At 36.0% G+C, this 26,920-nt stretch overlaps 1 protein-coding gene across 15 annotated transcripts in view; it reads right to left on the bottom strand.

The window, feature by feature from the left end:
• Positions 1-26,920, bottom strand: part of CTNNA2 (catenin alpha 2) — a 1,463,404-nt gene that overhangs the window by 41,673 nt on the left and 1,394,811 nt on the right. For all 15 annotated transcript variants that reach the window (NM_001399737.1, XM_024452714.2, XM_011532556.3 and 12 more), the window contains 3 exons: positions 25,289-25,402; positions 17,623-17,804; positions 2,929-3,034 (listed from right to left, as the gene is read on the bottom strand). In NM_001399737.1, the coding sequence (NP_001386666.1) occupies positions 2,929-3,034; positions 17,623-17,804; positions 25,289-25,402 (402 nt within the window). The remainder of the gene's footprint in view (positions 1-2,928; positions 3,035-17,622; positions 17,805-25,288; positions 25,403-26,920) is intronic.

Genomic DNA, 26,920 nt, shown 5'->3' with positions numbered 1-26,920 from the left:
TGTAAAGCCAGTGATTACATATAACCATCTACTGAATAAATGATAAAGGGATATTTTTTATATTTAACACTTACCATTGTGGTATTTTTTCACTAACTGCATTTATCAAGAAAGAATTCCACAGAGACTGTTTTTAGCTTCTTACAAGTACTTCATACTGTAATATTTATCCTACTCCAGGGACCCATACACGGAAAGGGATTAACTTTAAAATGATATCTCCCCAGAGGGCTGACAAGGCTTTTGATACAAATACCTTGCAGCAAATTAAACTGAAAGTTCTATCTCAATGGAACAGTAATTAAAAATGCAACAGTCCGTAAAAAGTTTATATGGCATGCATATCTCAAATCTTTATAAAATATTTTCCGGCAAAATAAATGTAACCAATCCAGTCCTTGATAATACTCATTCTATTCTATTATTTAAACCAAAGCAGTTAAAATACACATTTAAAAAGGCATGTTGAATCAAGGAAAATAACTCCTAAATCATGGAAATAGGTGCAGAATTTGATAACATTTTTTTCTGAAGATTTCTTTATCAAAAATTGCAAGTTATTTCACAGCTAATGACAATAATAATGCCACAAAGAGGATTAGGTTTAAACTTAATCCGTTTATTTTGAGTCACTGTGAAATAGTAGCATTTAAATACTCTGTCACTGAATCTCAAAATAAATGTATCCTGGGGGGTGTGTGTGTGTGTGTGTGTGTGTGTGTGTGTGTGTGTGTGTGTGTTTGATGTGTTTTTCACATATCAACTGTTTTGAGTTATGCTTTAGGTTGCATAGTTGAAAATAAAAGCCCAAAAAGGTAAAATCAAAAACAAAAGTCACAACCAAAACTATTGAACTTGAAGGGCCTAAAGATGCCGAGAAATACTTTTGACCATTGAGATTTAAAGTGTAATGAAACAGCCATTCAAACTCCGCTCATTTTCACTCCCAAGAAGTCCTTCCTAACAAATTGGTGGATGGCCAATTTCTGGTCACTCTACACGTCCCAACTCTTCTCAACATCTGCAGAAAAAGAATGTGGCCTTTTCTAGTTGGTAATTTTTTTGTATGCATACTTTCAAGTAAATTCATTGTCTCTTCCCTCCTCTACATGAACTTTCTGGAATACTTATGGAAGTCTGTCAAAAAAAACCCTCAGTTTATGCTGTGAAGCCTCATGGTTGATATTGCCCTGAAATTAGGCAATAGCAATGGGTTAACACTCAACACCTACAAATTGTAAGCAGTTCTCAAATTCTCATAGTACTTGAGTTATCTCAACCAATAAGCATTTCTCCAAAAGTCAAAAGTTAAAAAAATTTCTTGGATTAGCCATCTTAAATGTAAAATAAAATTAAAATGAGAATTCGTTGACTCTTGACTCTTAAGTGCAATCCTGATAGTAAAATCATGAGGGGTTTTGTTTGTTTTGTTTTTTCAGCCTTTAAAGGTGTGTGAATTTGGTATTGACTTGAATGAAGGATGTTAGAGCCTGGGATGCTGAGGCAGTAAGTATTTAGAGGAGCAACCCTTATATATAGGAATGAGGGAGGAAAACTACAATAAGCAACACAAAGACTCAAAAATCATCAGATCATCAGAGACTAGAGCCATATATGGAGAAGGATGCAATTCTCTTTCAGTATCTCCAGCTTGCATCAATGTACTGCAGTATACTAAGCAAATTCATGTTAATATTTCCATGTAGATAGTAGCATATATAATATTTTATTTCCAAAACTTATATTTTATGATACAATCCATCCAAAGTGGTTCAAACTGTAAATCACTATTGCTTATAGGGATAACTGTTAGTTACCTGGAAAAGTCTACTACCTAAAGCACTCTTAAAAGAAATGGACCATAATTGCAACAAAACATTTAGAACAGGATTTTAAAGTTCCAATTCAAGCCAAATAAAACGAAAAGTATGGAAATAAACATTCAAGGTGAGAACTCTTTTAATGTATATCCTAGTTTGGTTTGAAAGCATTAAGAGATACTCTGAGAATTTCATTTATCTCTGATGCTTCTGAGTCTGGGTTAGAATAAAGCTGAAATCTGAAGGTTCTTGATCATGTGGAATAATCCCGTTTATGGTGGAGCATAAGTTATTATGAAGAATATCATTAGAGTGAGAGCCATATTAAATAAGAAAAGGTGAAGTTCTAGTTTCTTATTTCTACATTTAAAAACATGATGTTCTCCCAGATTCTGCAACCTGTTTCTGCCCTTTGATCTCCAAATGCCCCTGACTGTCCTACCCCCAGTTTCCATTCTACTCCTGGTAGAGTCCGCGACAACTTTTTAAAGAAACCATCAAATCATGACCCATCACATCCCTAAAGCTCTGCTAATTCAGTTCCCTGACCACAAGGCAGGTTGCTCTTTTCTCTCCTTTATTCATTCTGTCAGGCAGTTAAAATGTGCAACCTAAATTTCCTGGGGGCAACAGAAAATAAAAGTAAAGCAATAATAAATATATATTTTTTAAATGTGATAAGCACCATGAAGTAAACAAAAGAGGGCATTAGGTAGGAATCTCTGAAAATATATTTAAACCAAGAGCCTAACAATGAAAATTTAAAAACCTGCTTTTCCCCCCTTCATTATGCAGTATAGTTGCCTTTCTGAATGGGGAAGCCTGGGACAATCCGTGACTCTTCAGGGGCTGATGTCTCCTAAGTAGTATGTTCTTCTTTCTCAAGGAATTTTGGTCAGAAGCCTTAGCATTCTCTCCTGAGCTAAATCTACGTTTGCCACTAGCACAGTGTCAGGAGAGGCAGATACCAGTGTGTAAAATATCAGTGATTCTCCCCTCTGATTCATTCTTCAGAGGCATTTTATAGGGTGCATAAAACTAGTTACAAAACCCAAGTGCTAATTAGTGACTCCACTCAGCATGTGCCCACCCTTCCCTCTTCTATTACCTGATCAGCCACAGCACGAGCTAATTTGTCCATTCGAGAACCTGCTTCGGCAATTTTCTTGGCAGCATTAATGACATCAGATGTATTTTTCAATGGGCCTTTGCCTCTGAAACAACATATACAACATAATTAGAAATCCACTTAATGACGGGAAAGAGACCAACCTACCATATCCTTTGTCCAGGAGTCTAGTGTTGTATTTTATTTGGCACTGGCCACATTAGTCGAATTTTGAATATTTTCCTGCTTAACTCCAGTTTCTATATTAGTAGTCGTTTTTGGAAATATTTTCCCATATTTTTATGTGCATGTTCACATTTTATCTTTTACATTAAGTTCTATATTTCTAAACAATGGCCAGTTATAAAAGATCATCACAAGAGAAATGAAAATTTTATAGTTGCTTACCGTGTACCAAAAGCTGTTGTACAGACTACCTCATTCTGACTTTATAACAACTCTACAAAGTAGGTATCATCACTCCCATTTAGAAAATAAAATGAGCCCAAAATGATCTAGTAACTTATCCAAGCTTATACAGGTCATAAGTAAAAAATTCAAAATTTTAAGCAGACTCTAGCCAAAATAAATGCATATGCTTTATCTTCCTACTCATGTCCAGCATATTTATATTCTATTATTTAAATTTTAAGTCCAGTTTGGCACTTTGAGAAGCAATTATCTCTTGCACATAACTGGGAACTGTTTGGCCAGAATTTCAGAGTTTTGTTGGCCTGTGGGCTTCCGATACTGATTTATGAAAGAACGTACAAAGCACTGAGTGACAGTAAATGTTTTTGTGCTTCCAAACCATCACCCTAATATTTTCATATAAGGTTTGCAATTAGGTGAAGTGTTTAATATTATATGTCTTTTAAATATTTATTATAAGGGAAATGGAAATTATGCTGCATCATAAATCTTTAAACAAAATATAGCATGTAATAACTTTTCTTTCCCTTATTGTGAGAGGTAAAGAATAAATTATGTTTATCATTTTTAGCATCGTTAATTAACCTGGTCTCTTTATGTGCATAAAAATCAATGTGTTTTTTAAGGCTGTAAGATTACATTCCTGTAGTTAGAAATGTGGTGAGCTGTACAGAAAAACTATTCAGAAGGGATTTATTCAGACCGTGTAGGGTTATACAGAGAGGGCAATGATTGCTATTGTTACATAATAACATTTTATAAAATAGAAGACAAAATGTCTTTCAGTAAACTAATGTAAATGAATGATATTTTGTTCCATTTCTCTACTAACTCACCTTCTTGGATTTTTCTACATTAGTCAGTATAAGTAAAATATACTGGGTTTCTATTAATGTTTAAATACAAAGACAGACACACAACTTAAGGTATTTCATTTTGTTGTAGTGACGTTAACTCTTCCACAAAGTAGTTTGATTTTGCAGTTGCTACTTAGATTTTAAAATGCAGACAGTAATTTCACTTGTGAATTTTATGTAATATGGATGAGTTAAACATTCTGTGACAATCTGTTTGCTATTCCCTAACATATTTTTATTAGCGCAAAATAAATGGTTTTTATTTTTTAAGGAACACTTGGATACAGAATCTGTCAATGTTTAATAATATTCTCATTATTGCATATTTCTTTGTAACTTCTAGACCTTAGAAAATCTATTTTCTGATGTTTACTCTGACACAATATTTGTTGTAACTTCATCTTAACCCATTCAATAAGACTGCATTCTGTTTGATTCTGCATTGCTAACAATTGTGTATTTCAAGAATTTCAAAGGATCTTGGAAAATGCTTCCTCATGAACGTTCCATAATAACTTCCACCAGCTGATTGATTCTGACAAAATGTTCCAAGTTAATGAAGAATGTCTATATAGATCCTGAATCTGCTTGATGCTCAGGCCCCCATATTGTAGACAAAGAATGAAAAGAAGCATGTCTTTTTGATTACACCGGAGACTACAGTTCATAGACTTACTAGTATGTTAGGAAAAAAAAAGTTTGAGACTTTAGAATTCATGTTGTAGACTCAATTCAAATTACTGGAGTCGCAACATGGGTATGAGGGTATATTTCATAAAATTAGAGACCAAAATAGAAGTTCTGAGATCAAATATTTTCTCATTTTCCAGTTGGGGAAGCTGAAATCTAGGGAGGAAGACAAAGTAACATGCCCAAATGACACTGCTACGCACAGAGAGAAACAGGATGGAAGTCTGTGTGTCCTGAATCATAATTTAGTACACTTTTTTTCTAAATATGATTCATTCTTAACAGCTAAAGTAACGTGCTCAGAGAAAAACAAGTAGCCTTAACTACATACATTAATACACACGAAGTTACAAAAAACACTAACTAAATAGATGGCTCAAGAATTCAGAAAGAAGAGGTTGGAAAAAAACTAATAAAATTACAAACAGATATTAATGTGTCAGAAAACAAAACACTAGAAATTATGGATAAATCCTAAAACTAGCTCTAAACCAAAAAGATATAGAAAATATATTTAGAACACTATCAAGAAATAATAGGAGAAAAATATCCAAAAGTAAAAAAGATAAGACAGCAATAACCTTAGAAAACAAAAAAATGTATCACAAAGCTGCTTTCTCAAATATATGTAAGTAAATGTGAAAACAGATGAAATAAGTTTCTAGGAGAATATAAATTATCAAAACAGACCAGAAAGGAGATTCTGAAAAATCAAAACAGTCTGATTTCCATGGAAGAAACAAAGTTGTCAGATAGAACTCATCAAAAAAAAAAAAAAAGAAAGAAAGAAAGAAAAAAGTCATTAAATCCAGGTGGTTTCTTACAGGAGTTAACTAAACCTTTAAAGAGAAGATAATCTCAATGCTATTTAAACTCTTCCAGAATATCAGAAGGAAAGTAATTTCATTCAGTTACATAATATTGATATTCCCAGAAGCAACTAAAACAAAACTATTTAAAGATGCTCACTTAGGTGGTACACACACACAGACAAAAAGAAGAAAAAACCCAAAGAAATGACAGAATTGACATGAGTGCTGGAGTAGGCTTATACATACGAGAATTATTTGTTAGGTTTTTAGGAACTGGGCAAGCCAGTTGAAATGTTGGGAGCTTGAAATCTGCCATAATGGGAATATTTACTTCCTGGACATCAGCAAATGCTACAAAGTTCAGGGCTTTTTCCCCTGTAGACCGTCATCAGATCTTGAAAAAGCTCAAGGTAATAGTTACAACTAGTCGAGAATAAAGGTATTGGGACTTAGAAAAGGTTTATGAAGGTTTCTTGAGCTGGGTGATAGTTGTACAAGTTACTTTAATTAAAGTCGTATACTGACAGGTGCCTCACACCTGTAATCCCAGCACTTTGGGAGGCAGAGGCTGGTAGATCACTTGCCAGGGGCTCAAGACCATCCTATAGTCCCAGCTACTCGGAGGCTGATGTGAGAGGTTTGCTTGAGCCCAGAAGGAGGCGGAAAGTGGCATATTTATTTTTCTGTAGATATGTTCAGTCGTTTAGACGTTAAAATGTATTTACTTTTTCTTGTCAAGCTGATGGTTATTAAAAAAATAATTTTCATTTCTGTTATGACAGAGGAGACTGAGTCTCTTCATCATTTATTGATCATTATTAATGATTTATATATTTTCTCTGAGTTGTCTTTTCAAATCTTTTGCATATGTTTCTATTGACTCTTTCTAAATTGCTTATCTAAGCTCTTCAGATATTTTGGATTCTGATCTTTTGTTATACTGCAAATTACTCCTAGTCTTGGTCTATATGTTAGGTTTCTTTTTTTTACAGTTTTTAAAATATAAATTTTAATTTTATTGTAGTCAAATGTATTCATCATTTACACTACTGTTTGTGCTTTTCATACATTCCTTTAAGAAGCTCTTCCTTATCCCAAGGTAATTGAAAATATCCTTCCATTTTATTCTAAAATTTTAAAGTTTCCTTTTTATATTTAGATATTAAATCCACCTACAGTTTATGCCTTTTGTATAGGGTGAGATAGGAATCACACTCTTTATTTTTCCAACCAGTAACCAATTGTCCCTGGACAATACATTGAAAAGTTAATCCTTTCCCGAACAATTTTATTTTTAAATTTTATTCCCTTTTATCTTTAAATTCTGTATAAGTAAATGTATTACTATAAAATATAAACACAGAATGCAAAAATACCCAGAAAAATAACATGAGAAAAATTGTCAACTACCAAATTCTATTGTCTAAATATTCATAAAAATTTGAACTACTTGGGGTGGGGGGAGTGGGGAGGGATAGCATTAGGAGATATACCTAATGCTAAATGACGAGTTAATGGGTGCAGCACACCAGCATGGCACATGTATACATATGTAACTAATCGGCACATTGTGCACGTGTACCCTAAAAAGTATAAAAATAAATAAACATTAAAAAAAATTTTGAACTACTAAAATGCAGTTAAAGTCATGTGTAAAATAAAGAAAATTATTTGAATCATCTGGGAAATCCTGAATATCTCATATGTGTTCTGAGCATGATGCAACACCCTTCTAAGAAAGTTTCAAGGCCCAGGTTTCTTTAAATGAGCACAAAGTTAGTGACATGACCCAGTTTCCCCACATCATGAACAGAAGAGAAGGGAAATAGAAAAAAAATAGTTGTGCCATTTCTGGAGGTAGGGGACCAAAGTTACTCATTTCCTTTTGCTTACATAACAGATTGTGTGGCTGCCCTTACTGGTAGCTGAAGAATAACTGTGGAATAATAACCATATCTTTAAAAGAGAAGACCTTGAATTTGGCTTATGTAGCAAGGGTAGCATGTTCTTTTAATGCTATCATCGCATAGGTTTCAAGTGGATTCTAAAGCTCCTTCAGACATCCGAGTGCCTATAGCAATTTTAACAGAATTTCTGTAATGATGTTCATTCTATAATTCTGCACTATCCAATATGGAGTCACTAGCCACATGTAATTATAGAACACTTAAAATATGGCTAGTGTGGCTGAGGAACTAAGTTTAATTTTATTTAAGTTTGTCTTCTATTTTTAACTTTTTATTTTGAAATATTACAGATTCTGTGGAAATTCAGAGATATGTATAGAAATGTCCTATTCACTCTTCTCCCAGCCTTTCTCATGTTAATATCTTGTATGACTGCAGTACAATAGCAAAACCAGGAAATTGATACCGGTAAAATCCATAGGGAATATTCATCTTTCACTATTTTTTATGCACTTGTGTAAGTATAGCTTCATGTAACTACTACAATTGAGACACAGAACCGTACTATTACCACAAGTTTCTCTCATACTGTTTATACCATTTAACCCACTCCTAACATATTCCTAATCATGAATCTCTTCTCCACCTCTACAAGTTTGTTATGTCAGGAATGCCATCCAAATGGAATCATACAGTATGAAATATTTGAGATAACTGTTTTTCACTCAGCATAATTATCTAAAGGTTTATCCAAATCATTGCATGCATTTTTATTGCTGAGTAGTAGTCTGTGGCATAGATGTAACATAGTTTGCTTAACCATTTAACCATTTGCCCAATGAAGGACATTTGAGTAGTTTCCAGTGTGGGACTATTACAAATAAACCTGACGTAATTGTTTATGGTATAGGGTTTGGGGTGAATACAAGTTTTTACGTCTCTGGATAAATGTCTGAGAGCAAAATATCTGGGTCCTGTAGTAAATCCCTTTTTAGTTTTTTGAGATTCTTTTTTTTTTTATACTTTAAGTTCTACGCTATGTGTGCAGAATGTACAGGTTACATAGCTTTATATGTGGCATGGTAGTTTGCAGCACCTATCAACCTGTCATCTAGGTTTTAAGCCCCGCATGTGTTAGGTATTTGTCCTAATGCTCTTCCTTCCCTTGCTCCCCAACCCTTGACAGGCCCCAGTGTGTGTTGTTCCCCTCCCTGTGTCCATGTGTTTTCATTGTTCAACTCCTACTTATGAGTGAGAACATGTGGTGTTTTTTTGTTCCTTTGTTAGTTTGCTGAGAATGATGGCTTCCAGCTTCATCCATGTCCCTGCAATTAATATGATCTCATTCTTCTTTATGGCTGGATACTATTCCATGGTGTATATGTGCTAGATTTTCTTTATCCAGTCTATCATTGATGGGCATCTGAGTTGGTTCCAAGTCTATGCTATTGTAAATAGTGCTGCAATAAACATACATATATGCAAGTGTCTTTGTAGTAGAATGATTTATAATCCTTTGGGTGTATGTCCAGTAATGGTATTATTTCTGGTTCTAGATCTTTGAGTAATCACCACACTGTCTTCCACAATGGTTCAACTAATTTACACTCCCACCAACAGTGTAAAAACATTCCTATTTCACCACAGCCTTGCCAGCATCTATTGTTTCCTGACTTTTTAATGATCGCCATTCTGACTGGCATGAGATGGTATCTCATTGTGGTTTTGAATTGCATTTCTCTAATGATCAGTGATGATGAGCTTTTTTTATGTTTGTTGGCCACATAAATGTCTTCTTTTGACAAGTGTCTGTTCATATCCTTTGCCCACTTTTTGAAGGTGGTGTTTTTTTTCTTGTAAATGTGTTTAAGTTTCTTGTAGATTCTGGATATTAGACCCTTGCCAGATGGGTAATTTATAAAAAATTTATCCCATTCTGTAGGTTGCCTGTTCACTCTGATGCTAGTTTCTTTTGCTGTGGAGAAGCTCTTTAGATTAATTCGATCCCATTTGTCAATTTTGGTTTTTGTTACAATTGCTTTTGGTGTTTTAGTCATGAAGTCTTTGCCCACGCCTATGTCCTGAATGGTTGTGCCTAGGTTTTCTTCTAGGGTTTTTGTTTGTTTGTTTGTTTGGTTTTGGGTTTTACATTTAAGTCTTTAGTCCACGTTGAGTTAATTTTTGTATAAGGTGTAAGGAAGGGGTCCAGTTTCAGTTTTCTGCATATGGCTAGCCAGTTTTCCCAGTACCCATTTATTAAATAGGGAATCCTTTCCACATTGCTTGTTTTTGTCTGGTTTGTCAAAGATCAGATGGTTGTCGAGGCCAATATCCCTGATGAACATCGATGCAAAAATCCTCAGTTAAATACTGGCAAACTGAATCCAGCAGCACATCAAAAAGCTTATCCACCATGATCAAGTTGAGTTCATCCCTGGGATGCAAGGTTGGTTCAACACAGGCAAATCAATAAATGTAATTAATCACATAAACAGAACCAGTGACAAAAACCATGATTATCTTAATAGAAGCAGAAAAGGCCTTCGATAAAATTCAACATCACTTCATGTTGAAAACTCTTAACAAACTAGGCATTGATGGAACATACCTCAGAATAGTGAGAGCTATTTATGACAAACCCATACCCAATATCAAACTGAATGGGCAAAAGCTGGAAGTATTCCCTTTGAAAACCGGACACAAGACAAGGATGCCCTTTCTCATCACTCCTATTCAACATAGTATTGGAAGTTCTGGCCAGGGCAATCAGGCAACAAAAAGAAATAAAGTGTATTCAAATAGAAAGAAAAGAAGTCAAATTGTCTCTGTTTGCAGATGACATGATTGTGTACTTAGAAAAACCCCTTGTTGGCCTGGTGCGGTGGCTCAGGCCTGTAATCCCAGCACTTTGAGAGGCCAAGGTGGGCAGATCACGAGGTCAGGAGATCAAGACCATCCTGGCGAACACGGTGAAGCCCCGTCTCTACTAAAAACACACAAAAAAATTAGCCGGGCATGGTGGCGGGCACCTGTAGTCCCAGCTACTCGGGAGGCTGAGGCAGGAGAATGGCATGAACCCGGGAGGTGGAGCTTGCAGTGAGCCGAGATCACGCCACTGCACTCCAGCCTTGGCAACAGAGCGAGACTCCGTCTCAAAAAAAAAAAAAAAAAAAAAAAAAAAAAAAAAAAAAAAAAAAAAAAACAACCTTGTCTCAGCCCAAAAAAACTCCTTAAGTCGATAAGCAACTTCAGTAAAGTCTCAGGATGCAAAATCAATGTGCAAAAATCACAGGCATTCCTACACATCAACAATAGACAAGCAGAGAGCCAAATCATGAGTGAACTTCCATTCACAATTACTACAAAGATAATAAAATAACTAGGAATACAACTTATAAGTAATGTGAAGAACCTCTTCTATGAGAACTACAAACCACTGCTCAAGGAAATAAGAGAGGACACAAACAAATGGAAAAACATTCCATGCTCATGGATAGGAAGAATCAATACTGTGACAATGGCCACACTGCCCAAAGTAATTTATAGATTCAATGCTATTCCCATCAAGCTTCCATTGACTTTCTTCACAGAATTAGAAAAAAACTACTTTAAATTTCATGTGAAACAAAAAAAGCCTGTATAGCCAAGACGATCCTAAGCAAAAAGGACAAAGCTGGAGGCATCATGCTACCTGACTTCAAACTAAACTACAAAGCTACAGTAACCAAAACAGCATGGTACTGGTACCAAAACACACATATACACCAACAGAACATAACAGAGACCTCAGAAATACCACCACAGGTTTTTAGCTTTAAAAAAAACTGTCAAACAGTGTTTCAGTTTTATTTCATCTTAATGAAAATTTTAAAACCCACAGCTTACTTTATTCATACTCAATGGTGAATAATAAAAGCTTTACCTCTAAGACCAGGATCAAAGCAAGGATGCCTGCTCTTGCCACTCCTATTCAACATAGTACCGGAAATCCCAGCCAGTGCAATCAGGCAAGTTAAAGAACTAAAAGGCATTCAAATTGGAAAGGAAGAAGCAAAATTATCTCTGTTAACAGGTGACATGATCTTACATGTAGAAAATGCTTAAGATTCTTTAAAAAAAGTCCTGGTAAAACTAATAATTGAATTCAGGCAAGTTGCAGGATACAAAATGTTTCTAGACACTAGTAAATAAAAAAATCCTAAAAGAAAATGAAGAAAATAACTCCATTTAGAACAGTATCAAAAAAATAAAATGTTTAGGAATAAGCTTAACCATGGAGTCAGAAGACTTGCATGCTGAAAACTACAAAATATTGTTGAAATTACAAAAATAAATGGAAAGTCATTCAATAAATGTGGATTGGAAGACTTAATATTAAGATGTCAATACTACTGAAAGAGATCTACAGATTCACTGTAATCCCTATCAAAACCCAAAGGCATTTTGGCCAAAATTTAAAAATCCATCCTAAAATTCACATGGACTCTCAAGGCAACACAAATAGCCAAAGCAATCTTGAAAAGAACAAAAATTGGAGACCTCACAATTTTTGATTTTAAAACTTACTATAATCAAAATAGTGTCATACTGGCATACAGACAGACATAGAGACCAATGGAATAGAATGGAGTTCAGAAATAGATCCTTATATATATATATAAGGTCAAATGATTTTCCACAAAGGTACTAAGATTTTTGCTAAGATTTGGGTCTTGGAAAAGGGCAGTGTTTTCAATAAATGGTGCTGGTAAAACTGGATTATCTACATGCAAAAGCAGCAGCAGTCCTCATGTTATACCTCATTTAAAAATTAACTAAAAATGGATGAAAGACCTAACCATAAGAACTAAAGTATAAAACTCAAAGAAGAAAACACAGGAGAAAACTTCATGACATTGGATTTGGTAATAATTTCTTGCATATGACACCAAAAGTATAAGCAACAAAAGAAAAAAAAAGATGTTGAACTTCAAGATTAAAAACTTGTGTGTGTCAAAGAACACTATCAACAAATAGTGAAAAAGAAACCAATAAAATGAGAGAAAATAGTAATTCTTTATCAGGAATTTGTAATTCCTGATAAGAAATTAATATCCGGAATATACCAAGGACTCCTACAACTCAACAACAAAAAAGCAAACAAACAACCCAACTAAAAAATGGGCAAAAGACTTGGATAGACATTGTTCCAAAGGAGATATACAATGCCAATAAGCATAGGAAAGTTGTTCAACATAATTAATCATTAGGGAAATACAAATTAAAACCACCATGAGACACCACTTCACATCCATTAGGATGGCTACTATCAAGAAAAAAACAGAAAACAAGTTTTGGCAAGGATGTGGAGAAATTTGACCATTGTGGAAAAATTTGAACACTTGTGTATTGCTGGTGGGAATGTAAAATGGTGCAGCCACTGTGAAAAATAATATTGTGATTCCTCAAACATTTAAAAGAATTACTATATGATCCTGCAATTCCACTTCTGGGTATACACTTAAAAGAAATGAAAGCAGGAACTTACATACTTATACACTCATGTACAGTGCAGCATTATTCATAATAGCCAAAAGGTGGAAGCAACCCAAGTGCTTATTAAGAGATGAGTGGATAAAGAAAATGTGGGTGGTACATGCATTCAATGGAACATTATTAAACCTTTAAAAGGAAACGCATTTGAGTATATGCTACAATATATGCATGAACTTTGAAGACATTATGCTAAATGAAATAAGCCAGTCACAAAAGGACAAATATTGTGTGACTCAACTGATGTGAGATACCTGTATTAGTCAAATTCATAGAAATGGAAGGCAGATGGGGAGTTTACATTCAGTAAGTACAGAGTATCTGTTGAGGAAGATGAACATGTTCTGGAGATGGAGGGTGGTAATGGTTGCACAACAGTGTAAATGTACTGAATGCCATAGAAATGTACACTTACAAAGGATTGAGATGGTAAACTTCATGATGTATACCATAATAGAAAAACAATTTAAGTAGTCATATATGGCTAGTGGCTACTGTATTGGACAGCACAAGTCAAAATGAGCTACAGTCATTTAGATAATGTGAGGTGGGGACTGAAACAAGAAACAAATAGCCAACAGCAAAACAAACAAACAAACAAAAAAACAAAAGAAAAAAAAAATCACATCCATGAAAGCGTCAGAAGTTTGAGTCTTCCTATCCGTGGAAGACAATATCGACAAGAAGACTGGCCACGTTGGTTGTATCTCCCCATTTTAAAATTGCGACCCACAGCCCTTGTGTTTTCCTACCTTAGACCAGATTTTCTATTTTGTGGGTTTGTAAAAGATGCTATGGGTAATCTCATGTTCTTAATGCAGGAGCAATCATATTGTCCCATCTGGAGTATGTTTTTAGTTTCCTTGGAAAGAGCATCAAGTCATATAATTATCTCTACTTATATAGATTCTTGAAACCTTCTCTCTTTAGGACATAGGTAATTCTGATGCAAAGGTCAGTATCTGGAGTCTTTCCCGTGAAGTGGTCACTCCAAAAAAGAAAGTCAAGGAAAAGTATTACCGCATTACTGCTGTCACATCACCATTTATGAACTAATTCACATTTATTTTGTGAGAAGGTAATAAGTACTAAGGTGAAAAATCTATGCCTCAGTATATTCTGAGTTAATATAGTTAATATTCAAAATTCAAATTCTGAGTTAATCCAACGTATTTTTTATGCCTTCTCAATACCTCTAACATGTTAATACCAAATGTGACTCTCCAATGAGATATAGCACATAAAAAGGGTATTTGCAAATGTATCGAACCATAAAAGTCACTTTTCAGAGGCTTCTGAATATGTTTGGGAAATTTTACTAATGAGCTGCATTTCACTAATCAGCTGAAGCAGTATGAAGACAGCACAGTAGAACAGCTGAGTGAATCTGGGGAATTTCGAGAACTCAGGTGGAACTGCAGAATCACAAGTTGAACTATTCCAGGTACTTTTTGGAATAGGTTGTAAGGTCAGATGTTAAACATGTACAAAATTAGGACAGAAGCCTAAAGGTCAAGAAAGGTAGGCCTTGGAGAGCAAACACAAGGATTTTTATTTTGTGAAAACAGGAACTAACGAAACTTTTGGTGCAAAGGAAGCTGGATGGTTGCCCTTCACTGAGCAGATGTGGCCTGGATGAGTAGAGAATTGGAACTGAAAGACCAGTAAAGCGCTCCCTAAGCTGAGGTACTGAGCATGTGAAGTAAGCCAGAAAATCAAGTTTGGGAAATATAGAATGATTATATGATTTTTGAGTCTAGTGCTCAGTATTTTACAGTCAGTTGTACTCTGAAAGTTTTTTTTTCTTAGTCTCAAAACTGTTGAAGATTAGAACTTAAGTTTGATTCTAAAAACAGCTTTGCTCTTTGCTGTACAATTAAACTTGAGCTGTTGCTATCTGCACGCCTTTTGTTATTGGGACACAAGACTAGCAACATGCGATTTCTTTCTGAAAAATGACATGAAAAGAAAAGCATGCATTCACTCCATGCAGGATGGTGCTTCTGCCATTGTCCATGAGATGGAAGTCAAGAACTGAGTGGGAAAAAGACATGAGGCCTAATCAGTTTTATCTTCCATGAAGAAGTTATTACACATATAATGAGGCAGAACCCTCCCAATTTTAATAACAATGGAGTGAATATCATTGAGATTACTGAATCAAATTAATGAATTAGCTAGTGATAAGAATAAAACAACAAGATAATAAATGCCAGGGTATTGTGTACCCACATGCCCTTTACACATACACATTATGGAGAGTGGCCAAGTTTCAATTCCTAATCAGCTACATCCATTCTTTAAATAAGAGAAAATGGTACTTAAGAATGTTTAGAGTTATGGAGCTAAAATTATTCCTCCTTGAAGTGGAATATGCAAGTGGAAGGGCAATAATAACAATGTATAAGGTCAAATATAGTGAACTTAGGTGAGAGGCCACAAAGAAAGGCACTAGTCAGCTGTCTGTTTGCAAAAAAAAAAAAAAAAAAAAACAGGCTGTGCAGATGGAGGCAGCAATGAAGCCTCAACTTCCTGTGTTGCATTTCAAACGCACAGTCTACTCTGGTTCTCCAGTCATTCATTACTATACTCCTCCCTTTGCCCTAACAAAAAGAACACAAAACGACTCATCATGCAGTGGGAAAAATTGTAACTAGTAGCTCCCTAGACATTTCATTATTTAAATCAGCATAATGATATGAAATCCCTATGAAACTGAAGACACCTTCTTCTCACTTTTAAAACTATACTTTGACTAACAGACATGTGTCTTATTTAACACCATGTAACAAGACCCCTCAAATATATCTTTCATAACTGTGCCTTGACCACAGTTATATAATCTAGAGAATTATAAAATGTGCTCCTGATCAAAACTAGTAACATGACCAGAGTCATTATTCACTTTACTGAGATTATTTGTTCAAGTGATGCTATTAATGGACTGGATAATAACCATCAGGTAAAGTACTAATAAAATGTTGAAAGCAAGCAAATTAAGTCATCACAGGCCTTGAGAAACAGTGACTGAGGCTGCCATAATCGTCTGATTTGTAGAAGTTTCAGGCTGAAATAATGGCTCAGACTTTTTTCCTGCTGTTACGCTTTGTGAAATAAATGTGTGAAGTCCACAAAGACTAACCAAATGTACAAATATGAACTTCTAATGAATACAATGACATTTAAAAGTCTCAAAGGGCTCCTTCATAACAGTAAAATCATTCCACTGAAGTAAAAAAAACAATTTTAAAATATTGGGAAAAAGGGCCAAGCTATGTCATTAGTACATATTGGCCAGAGGCAAAGGGGGTGACGCAGAGATGTTCCATATTAAATTATAACTTATAATCAATTCTAGCCTTTTCTCATTAGAAGCATTCAACAACCATTAAAAAAAGTTGTCACCCATCAGATGATGTCTTGACATTCCCATATATCTTACATTATTTCAATAACAAATGCCACGTTAAATCATTAAAACATCTTTGCATATGTGTGTTTTCCAGAAAAAAAAACACTACAGTAAAACCATAGTTTATATCTGTATAACAGCATAATTTATACTTGCATTATCTCTTTGGATTTTAAAACTCTCTTCTGAAGTTGATAAGACAAGTGTTATTTCACCATTTCGCAAATAGAGAGTAAGAGACTTGCCCCCAAATCACCTGATATTCTGACTCAAAATTCAGGGAGGTTCCTACTGAGTTTTGCTCTCCCTTGGTTTGTCCTTTGTGTTGAAAGGGCAGAGATATCATCTTCTTTTAAAGAAGAGACCAAAATGCAATGATAGAAAAGAGCACTAACCCTTGTTGAAGAAAAGTCTCCTGACAAAATTCTGACTGGTCACTTGATTTGTCAAAGGTACTAGCTCAGAGCTAAAGGAAATAAATCTTATACAACTTTAATTTCTCTGTGAAAACAATGGAATCTTAGATTGTTGTATCTGATTCTTAATATGTAAGAATAAAATGTGAGCTTAAATTAATGCTAGATCACAAGCTAATATTACAACATACTATATGTATACATGCGCGCGCGCGCACACACACACACACACACACACACACACACACACACACACACACAGAGGTACATATTTTTCCAAAGGTATATTAACAAATCATTCACTTTATCTTCAGAATAATACTTAAGCATATTGCAAAATAGCACAGACCAAAGATGAGTCACCCGTCCCTCGGGGTTTGATTTTATGACTGCCTTAGGGTAGATAATTATAACAACAATAATTACAACATTGAATCTATTCTCCTTGACCAAAAAGATATACCTATCTGCTAGGAATTAAGTGCAGATCATTTTGACTTATACATGTAAATTTATAATACCACCACCTTGCGTTGGTATATTTTAATTTTTCAGCAGGCTTTCACATGCTAATACACACTGCTACACTTCTGGGTTTAATGAAAAAATCTTCAGCTCCCTGGCTCTGGGCCTCACCTTGTGAAGTCTGTCATTTCCATCATGATCATACACATCTGCTTGGCCAGTACAATGATATCATTGCCGCTGTCGTCCCATTTGGCCACTTCTGCATCCAGCTTGCTTTTCTCTTGATGGAATATCTCCACCTGCTCAGCTATTTTTGCCTTCTCCTCCTGCGGTAGTTGCGCCATGATGGCCTGCGTGGGTTACAGAAAAAGCGTGAGTGACGGTGACAAAGGAAGTACAGACCGTATGTTGACTCTGCCTTCTGCGGATGGCAGAGCCAGACCCTGCAAAGGCTTATGAGCTACCCTGCCATTCCGGAAAGCACGTCTTTCTCCATTCCAGGGAGGCCACGAGCACAGGCTGATAAGCTCCCCAAAGTCCCCGTCCCACTCCCATATATGAAAAATACAGAGATATCCAAAGCTACGTGCGCACTGGCAATAACAGAACTTCTCTGCCGCTTTGATGGCATATGTTTGTTCAAAAGAAGCTATTCTTGACAATTTTTATATTTGGTCTCAGGAAACTTTTACCAGATGAAAGAATGCACCTCTTTCAACACTGAAATCTGTTCAGAGAAGGGAAAAAAAGAAAAACGGCCTTCTGTCGCTGGAAAGGATAGGAATTTTAAACACTATCTGAGCATCCAAGTGGGGGAGGATGGGGCTACTTTCTATGAGTGTAAGTGAAGGTGTCTACAGAGAGATGCCCAACAAAAATCCCCTGCCCAGGGCACTCCAGGGACGGTGTGCCTACTCTCAGCCCTCCCCCATCTCCTTTAGGGTGGTGGCATGCCTGCGGCTCCTTGTTAAAGCCTTTGAGTACGTAGGCAGAAAAGTTATAATGGGATAAAGGATAAAATTAGGAAGCATGGGTTCATTTTCAATAACTGCTAGGTAAGAAAATGTAGAAAAAGGAGAACTGCAGTCTTCTTATTCATGGATTCTTCATTTGCCAATTTGCCTACTCTCTAAAATATACTTGTAACCCCAAAATCAAGGCTTGTAGCATTTTCGTGGTCATTTGCAAATGTGGGCAGAGCAGCAAAAAAATTGAGTTGCGTGACATGCACATTCCCAGATGAGGTTGAACAAGGCAATGCTCTGCCTTCCTTTTTCAGCTCTCGTACTGTAAACAAGTGTACTTTTTGCAGTCTATTTAATGCTACATTTTTCATATCTTTGTGCTTTTTGTTAGTAACTTTGCTGTTTAAAATGGCTCCAAGCATGGTGCTGAAGTGCGTCTAGTGTCCCCGAGCACGAGAAGGCGGGCATGTGCCTTATGGAGAAAACACATGTGTTAGTTAAGCTTCAATCAGGCATGAGTTACAGAGTTATTGGCTGTGAGTTCAATGTTAATGAATCAAAAATATAAAGTGTCTAAACAGAAACACCCATTAAACATAGTTACTTATTGATCAGTTGAAGAAAATGTCTTGACTGGCAGCTCTGAGGAATCTACTGCTGTATTTCCCCTAGGACCAATGATTAAATATTTGCTAATTAAATGTTCATGATGACTTTATAGAACATAACTATCAGGAGTAATGAGAATCAACTATATTTGTTAAACACCATTTAGGTAGCAAGCCCCGAATGAAATGTCTGTCATCACCGTATCACATCCTCCCAAAACTGTATGCAACCTGCTTCACAGACAGGGGAATGTGAATAGGTACTTCCAATTCCCCTGCTTCTAGGATGCACATATTTTCCATAAGACAGACCAAGAGGGTACAGTTTGGGGGACTGCAGTTTCTGCAATGAACAAGTAAAATAACACAAGAAAAATGCTTCCTAAATTATAAATCTTCTCCCTGTGTGAGTGAATAAATTTGGAAGGACTATAACTAAGGTCTAATAGAGGTATCAGGCAATGTGAGCTCAGAAGAACTGGGTTCAACAGGGGCTCTGTAGCTGACATGGGTTAAGACTTCACTGTTACATGGATCTATCGTTGATCTCTTCAGATAGAATATGGGCATAGTAAATAATTACCTCAAAAGGTGATGGTGGGCAGCAAATTAAATAATATGTGTTTTTTCAAATAAAATGAAAGTAAGCATGTATAGAATTATCATTAACATTATATTATAACTGCTGCCATTAATTTGCCTTTCCAACTACCCCTCTGGCTCATTTCTTAGTTGCTATAGGGAAAGGGATGGGCTCGGGGTCTATGCAACTATCTACAAATAGAAGATTGTTATGATTCCTTATGTATATCCACAAGTACTGGGTACTGTGCTGAGGCTTATGTATGTCAAATAACAATCTACTTAATCATTCTGATACTATTACTATCCCCATTTTAATAATAATATCTAGGCCTAGAGAAATTCATAGAATTCCTAATATCACACAATAGGCTCTAGGAATAGGATTCAAACCCACCTGAACTAAGATCATTCTTAACCACTCTACACAACTGGATCATCAGTTGTGCCTGGCCATGCAACTTACCCACTGTCCTGGGGTCCTCAACCAAGTGGGGCAAGGGTCACTGATATCACTAGCACTGCTCGCCACACTGTGCATCCTGGTGGATGCCATAGACATGAGTTGCCTATGGTGTCTGATTTGACTAAAGGTATCCTTGAACCCGTGGCTGCCCAGATGCTTCTTACTAGTAGCCACATCTACTGACTTCCATGGATACATGTATGTGGCTTTAAATAGCATGTGTATGTATGTTTGGATATGCGTGTGTACGTGTAAATTTTAATCCATATTTAAAAATCCAGACTTGTATGAATACTATTAAGATATCTAAAATACTATATCTTGAAAGATAAAGTAGCTTTAAAAACTGTATTTGAAAAGGTGCTTGATATACAAGAGTTTATTGTAAGCTCACATTTGCAATGTTGTGTTCATAGCAAGACAGCTATTCCACTATATTTGAGATATGTTTGATTTACAGAAATTATATATGCACTTTTTTCCTTAACTATTCCTTTCTGATGACCTATTGCTGTTTTTGGTTTATTGTCCTCCTCATACAGAAGAGCGAATCATGCTTTACTTAGACCTCACAGGTCCTAAACCAGCATCATTTAAAACATTCGCTAGGTGCTTCTCTGAAAAAGAATCCGTAAAACTACCAGCAGACTCCCAGACTCAATGTTCAATCCCCAGATGAAAAGCAATGCACATTTCATTGTCCCAACACAAGGTTAATTTGTGCACTGAAAAGTGTATACTTCTCTGTCAACTATAGCACTTGCATCTCCATAATACAATTTAGCACTTGAATATTAACTGCTTTGCTTTGCTCTCTAATTAATTCCTATTAATGCCCTACTGCTAACTTCTTTATATGCTTCCCTAGGGTTTAGGCTGCCATATCCTGCCCAGAGTAGAAGCTTAATAAACATCTTTTGACTGCTTAAACATTTTTCCACTCACTGCATTAACATAACTCAAGAGAAGTTGCCAGAACGGACACACACATTCTAAGGACACAATTCTGAAGAAAAACTATCCCCTCCAATGCAAGTTTGCAAAGGAAGATATTATTTTGACTCTAGGGGTGCTCGACCTGCATAATACACTTAATGGTGTGTGACTTGGGTGAAAGCATCTTTCCATTTGCTTCTGCTTATGTAGCTATCAATGAGCTGAAGTCTCTTCCTAAATATTCTTAAAATGCTCTTGCTTTTAAAAATTCATAATTGACCTTTTCTGAAACTGGAATTTAAAAAAAGGTTATCTATAAACAGTAGATCACAAACTGTGAAATTTGCAAGTTAATCAAATTAGAATTCAACACATGAGTTTTAATTAGGTCTTATCAATGTAACTCAGCAGTTTGAAATGTTAACACATTAAGGCCATTCTAGCTAGAAAAAAATAGAAGCCAGCTACATTGAAATCAAACTCAATATAAAATACATAACATGCAATTGTTCATTCCCTCAAACTAAGGGAACATGAGAAAAATTATCTTCATGGCCAAGAGGAAAGGGAACATATCAGATTTTGTTTGTATGATATGATTACCCAGGACAGGTTGAAGTTTCTGCTTTTCACAGTAGCAAAGCACAGCTCTCCAAATTGTTGATCTGCCTGATGTGGGGTTCCAAATTAGTGGTATCAGAGATATTAATCCAAAAGGATTCCTTCCCCCTACCCCAGAGTCCCTCCCAGCCTTTCCTCTGAACCACCAACCATTTTTCGGTGATTGTTATAAACTATACCTATTACACTAAAAGTGAAAATCACTGATAAAAGGAAACAACCATTCAGATAGCACTGAATCCATTCTTCAATTTAAATCTCAAGGAGATTTTGATATAATTATCTTCCAATTTCCAGAGAAAAAAATGATTTTTAACGTCTATGGGTCCCCAAACTGACAAGTGTTCATTTCTTAGCCTAGAGCAAGAGGCTAACATTAAGTTTCAAGTACAAGAATGTTTATAAATAACAATTAAAGGGACTAAAACTCAATGTGCCTGTTTCTACTTACTTGACTTTAAAGCAGTATAATAAGTAGTTAAGGAGTGGGTCCTTTGATTCTTACCAGTCTCTAGCTGTGAAGTGAATTGGAAAATTGAGGTAGTTGTCCCATTAACTCAAGTAAAAACTCTCATGATTGCCTGAATGATCCAACTCTTTTAGGTGAAATTATTTAGTCAGCCTTCTAATGAATGATTAGCTCAAGCCACAAGCATCATCACCATTACCACCAACTTAATTATTACATATTTATATGATAAATCCTGTGATACATTTTATCATGGAATTCTCCCTACGACCTTATGTGGTAGCATACGAGGAGATGAAGTGTGGAGAGGTTAAGAAAGTTGCCCCAAAGTCACACAGCTTCACTAAGTCCATATTTAAAATCAGGTCTGTGTGACTCCAAATAATATATTGTATCACCAAGGTTAAGTGCCTAGCAATTGTCACTAACCTATTTTAACTATGCCAGACTGTGGAGAAACAGTTTATATTATGTCATGTCTAGGATCAAAGGGTAAGATCACCTCCATATTTTATCAGATCACCACCATCCATATTGATTCCCATTCATTCCCCCCTCCTAAACCGCCCCCCGCCCCCTATCTCCTCTCCCTCAGAATGTTGTAGGCAAGCAGCAGATATGGGCATATAAAGGACATTTTTGAAATACTTTAATTCCAGAATTTGAGAGCAATGTTGGATGGGGTTACTAAAAGCTTATCTCCCACTCAAACCTTCTTATAGATTAATTTACCATTTTTAGAAAGGGAGACTTTCTCTAAATGTGAACACAAAGTAATATCATTAACATGGGAGGACTTGCTGCAGGGAAGAGCAAATGCCTCTGTCAAAGACAAAGTTCGCCTCCTTCAAAATTTGGACCAACTTAGCACACTTTGCTGGTCAAAAGTCTGACCATCTATCATTTCAGCAATTCAATGCACCCTCTTATTTCCAACTTAACAGCCATAATTCCATGTCTCTGATTTGTCATCATATAATTACAGGCTAAAATAGGCTGACTCAGTAAGTAATGCTGTCTGCTGCAACTTAATCGTACAGACCACATGATAGACCTCAAAGTCAAATGAGCAAGTGCTGAATTTGTAGGAGTGCTCTGTTCTTACTATCTTGGACCCTGTTTATAATTCATGCTGAAAAAAACTCTCAGAAAAGACACTAGTGTGAAGAAATAATAGATGATAAAGACAGGAGTCTCCAAATTGTATTTCCACCCATCATCATTGACTTGAAGTCTAATGTAAATGAGACTAGAATTAGGTTCCCAATGAAACAGAAGTATATTGCGACTCTATTCTTCCTTGTAAAAGTGGGACTGTTCATGCCATTTTGACAAGATGGTGCTTATAAAGCAAGATGAGTTGTACAACCTGTCTTTGTCTTTAAGAAAACTAGTCAGTGGATACTAGGCTGTATGTATACTGAGTTGCAGTTAGTCAATTAAATTGACTTTGAATTGCTTCATGTTTGGATGAATTACTCAAAATTGCCCTTTGTCAGTGACATAACAATGCTGGTTTTACTTAATTCTGAAGATGAATTGACTGTTTAATTCATCTGACGTTTTGCCAACACAGAGTCAAAAGATTTTCAAGTTACTGACCTTTCCAATTTTCAACATTTTAGGGGGGATTAAATAGAGTCTGCAAGGAATTTTTGAAATAGGGGGCTCTATGCCAACTTTTCTGTTGTCCCACCATCATGTGATCGGAAAGGATTTCTCTTAGAAAGGATGATAATTATCACGGTCATCTTTATCGAGCACTTACTGAATGTCTAATATTGTGCCTATTATTTTACAAATATTAAGTAATTAAATCTTCATAAGAATCCTATCAGGTAACCCTGTTATTCGCATTTTAGAGAGAGGTCTGAAACTGAAAAATCAAGCAACATGTAGCTTTGAGCATGGTTCTAATGCTGCCCTTTATAATTCAAAACCAAATCTGTCTGAAATCAAAGGCTTTGTCTTTAATATTCTTTAACCTTCACATCCCTCCTATTAATGTTTGTTTATATCTTTTGGGTCACTTGATTGTTGAGTGAGAATATCAGGGCATAAAGCACATAAGAGAAACTGGGTTTTAGACACAAAGTCTTTCTTGACTAAACATCTCCCTCAAGTCCTCTTTATTTTAACCTCTGATTATTTTTCTTTCATAATTCTTAAGGCAGTGTGGGCTTTCTGGCGTTTCCCAATTTCTATTTTAAATTACCTTCTCTTTCTCAACCTCTTGCTTTCTATTCATTATCTTTTATTTAAATAAAACTTAACAAAGAAAATTAGAATATCTAATTCTCAGTTATACTATAATCTGATTGTTTTTACTCTTTGGAAACTGAGCCCTTAAGGGGAGGAAAATTTCATCGTCCTATGCAGTCTCTAAAGATTTCATCTCTTACCACCGGCCTTGATTACGTACACCTACTCTCTGGGTGATACAGCAAATCAGATTGATCCAAATTTAGGATGCTCTTTAGACCAAATGCATTGGTGAACAGTATCATGGAGTACTCAAATGTCAGGCAGAGCTGGTACTCTCTCTGTTGCTTCCTGATCCTTGCCTTAAACTTGAATATTTCTAATTTGTCTCTATTTTTCTATCATATGGCAGACAGATCTAGGAATACCACCATGGGAGTAGACAGGCATCATGAGGAAAGAAAAAGTTCTCTATCTAATGGCCTTGAACCAATTTCAAAAGATACGGTCTTAGATATCATAGAACATAGGCCATTGTATGGAGCAACAGCCCAGCTATAAACAAAGTAGTGCCCTGATTCCTCATTTGTCATTGCCTCTTGTGTTGACAAGCTTGGAGACTTCAGGAAGAACAATGGTGACTGTGCCAATGCAAAATTTGAGTATTCCAGTGTCCCCTATCAGTCTATCATCTAATTCTAGTACCCAAACCCAACAAAATCAATTATACACATAAAAGCTTGCTGTGATGTGGTTGCTATGTTTCCAGTGATAGCAAAAGAGAGGAGTTAGAGGAATCAGGAGCAGTGGTGGTTATTTTCACTGTGTAAAATGTGATTTGCTATAAACAACCTCAGATGAGAGCACAGATTTCTGACCCATGAATCTCTGGGGTACCACGTGTCTGGAGTTTAGAAATACCCTCAAACCATTTTAGTAAACACGGTCCCTGTGTGCCAAGCCAAAGTCTTAGGTGTCCACTCACCCGTGCGCTCTGCCCTGCAATGAGCTGGTCATCCTCAGTCTGAACACTTGTCCTGCTACGCACATCATAATCTTCCTGCTCAAAGTCAGAATCATCCTCTAGTTCTTCTGGGGTCTAAAGACAAAAAGATATAAGTCAGCATACTTAAATTGATAATCTTCACCCCCATCCACACACTTCATTGCAAAGGCTAAATATCCCCCAGCAAACAGAGCTTATAGCATCCTACATAGCACCCACACAGCTATGTGGGTGAGTATTAGCCGGAATGCAGTCAGAAAAATCAAGCTGCCCTAATTTACTTTAAAAAATATATTTTATTTATTATTTCCTCATACAGGTATAGTAAGTCTAACTTGCAGTGATATGCTAATTTTAAGAAAAATGATATCTGTGTATTATTTCCACCCATCCAAATCTATTGAAAGAAAAGATCCATCAACAACAAAATTTACACCTATACTTCTATAATGCCACTTTTGCTCTATAAACAAAAAAGTTGATTATCTCCAGGCCAAAGGCTAGACCTGATGGAATATCTGATTTGGTCACAAAGCCATAAGGTATAACGGTTATAAGCACAGGCTCTAGAGTCAAGACTGCCTGAATATGAGCCCCTATGTGCTCATAAATAAACTATCTTACCTCTCTTAGTTTGACTTCCTCTGTAAATTGAGGTTGATAATAGTAGCTACCTCTATGATTGCTGTGAAGATTAGGCAATGTATTATCTGTATAGTATCAGACACAGAGTAGGTATTTTTTAAATGTTTGTCATCATTATTACTTAGGGTTTGTTGTTTTGAGACAGGGTCTCACTGTGTAGCCCAGGCTGGAGTGCAGCAGTGGGATCTTGGCTCACTATAACTTCCACCTCCCAGGTTCAAGTTATTCTTGTACCTCAGCCACCCAAGTAGCTGGGATTACAGGTGTACACCATCATGCTTGGCTAATTTTTGTATTTTTTAGTAGAGACAAGGTTTCACCACGTTGGCCAGGCTGGTCTGGAACTCCTGGCCTGAAGTGATCTGCCCGCATTGGCCTCCCAAATTGCTAGGATTACAAGCATGAGTCACTGTGCCTGGCCCATCATTATTATTAGGATTTTTAAATCAATTCATTCAACAAAGTTTATGAAATGAAGCTACTGATTACCACATACCCATAAAGGATTAAATAACTTTTACATATGTATTATCAATTTAGCTCAGATGAGCACAGTGACATTAGGGATCATTCTCTATTTAGAGGTAAGTAATACAAGGTGCAAAGAAGTTAAGCCATTTGCCCCATATCCCTAAATTAGTTAATAAAGAACCAGAAGTTAGATCTAAACACCCAGGTGTGTCTGACTCCAAACATACTTCTCATTATTAGTTTTTGTTGTAGTTTATTCACGTTACAAATTTAGCAAGAACTGAAGTTATAAAATTGCTTAAAAAGAGTAGAGTTAGATCAAGATCCTTTCCAATCTATAAAGTCAGTGATAAGGAAAAGATAAGAAAGAATCCATAAGCCCAGGAACAAAACACCTTTCCATCTTCAATGGCAATAATAATAGATAACTGTGCATTAAGTGCTTACCATGTATGTGTCTGTCAACGTTTTTTCTAAGTGCTTTACAGGCACTAA

This window comes from Homo sapiens, chromosome 2 (assembly GCF_000001405.40).
Source record: "Homo sapiens chromosome 2, GRCh38.p14 Primary Assembly".
Taxonomy (NCBI): Eukaryota; Metazoa; Chordata; class Mammalia; order Primates; family Hominidae; genus Homo; species Homo sapiens.
This window is presented reverse-complemented; position numbering and strand designations above follow the sequence as displayed.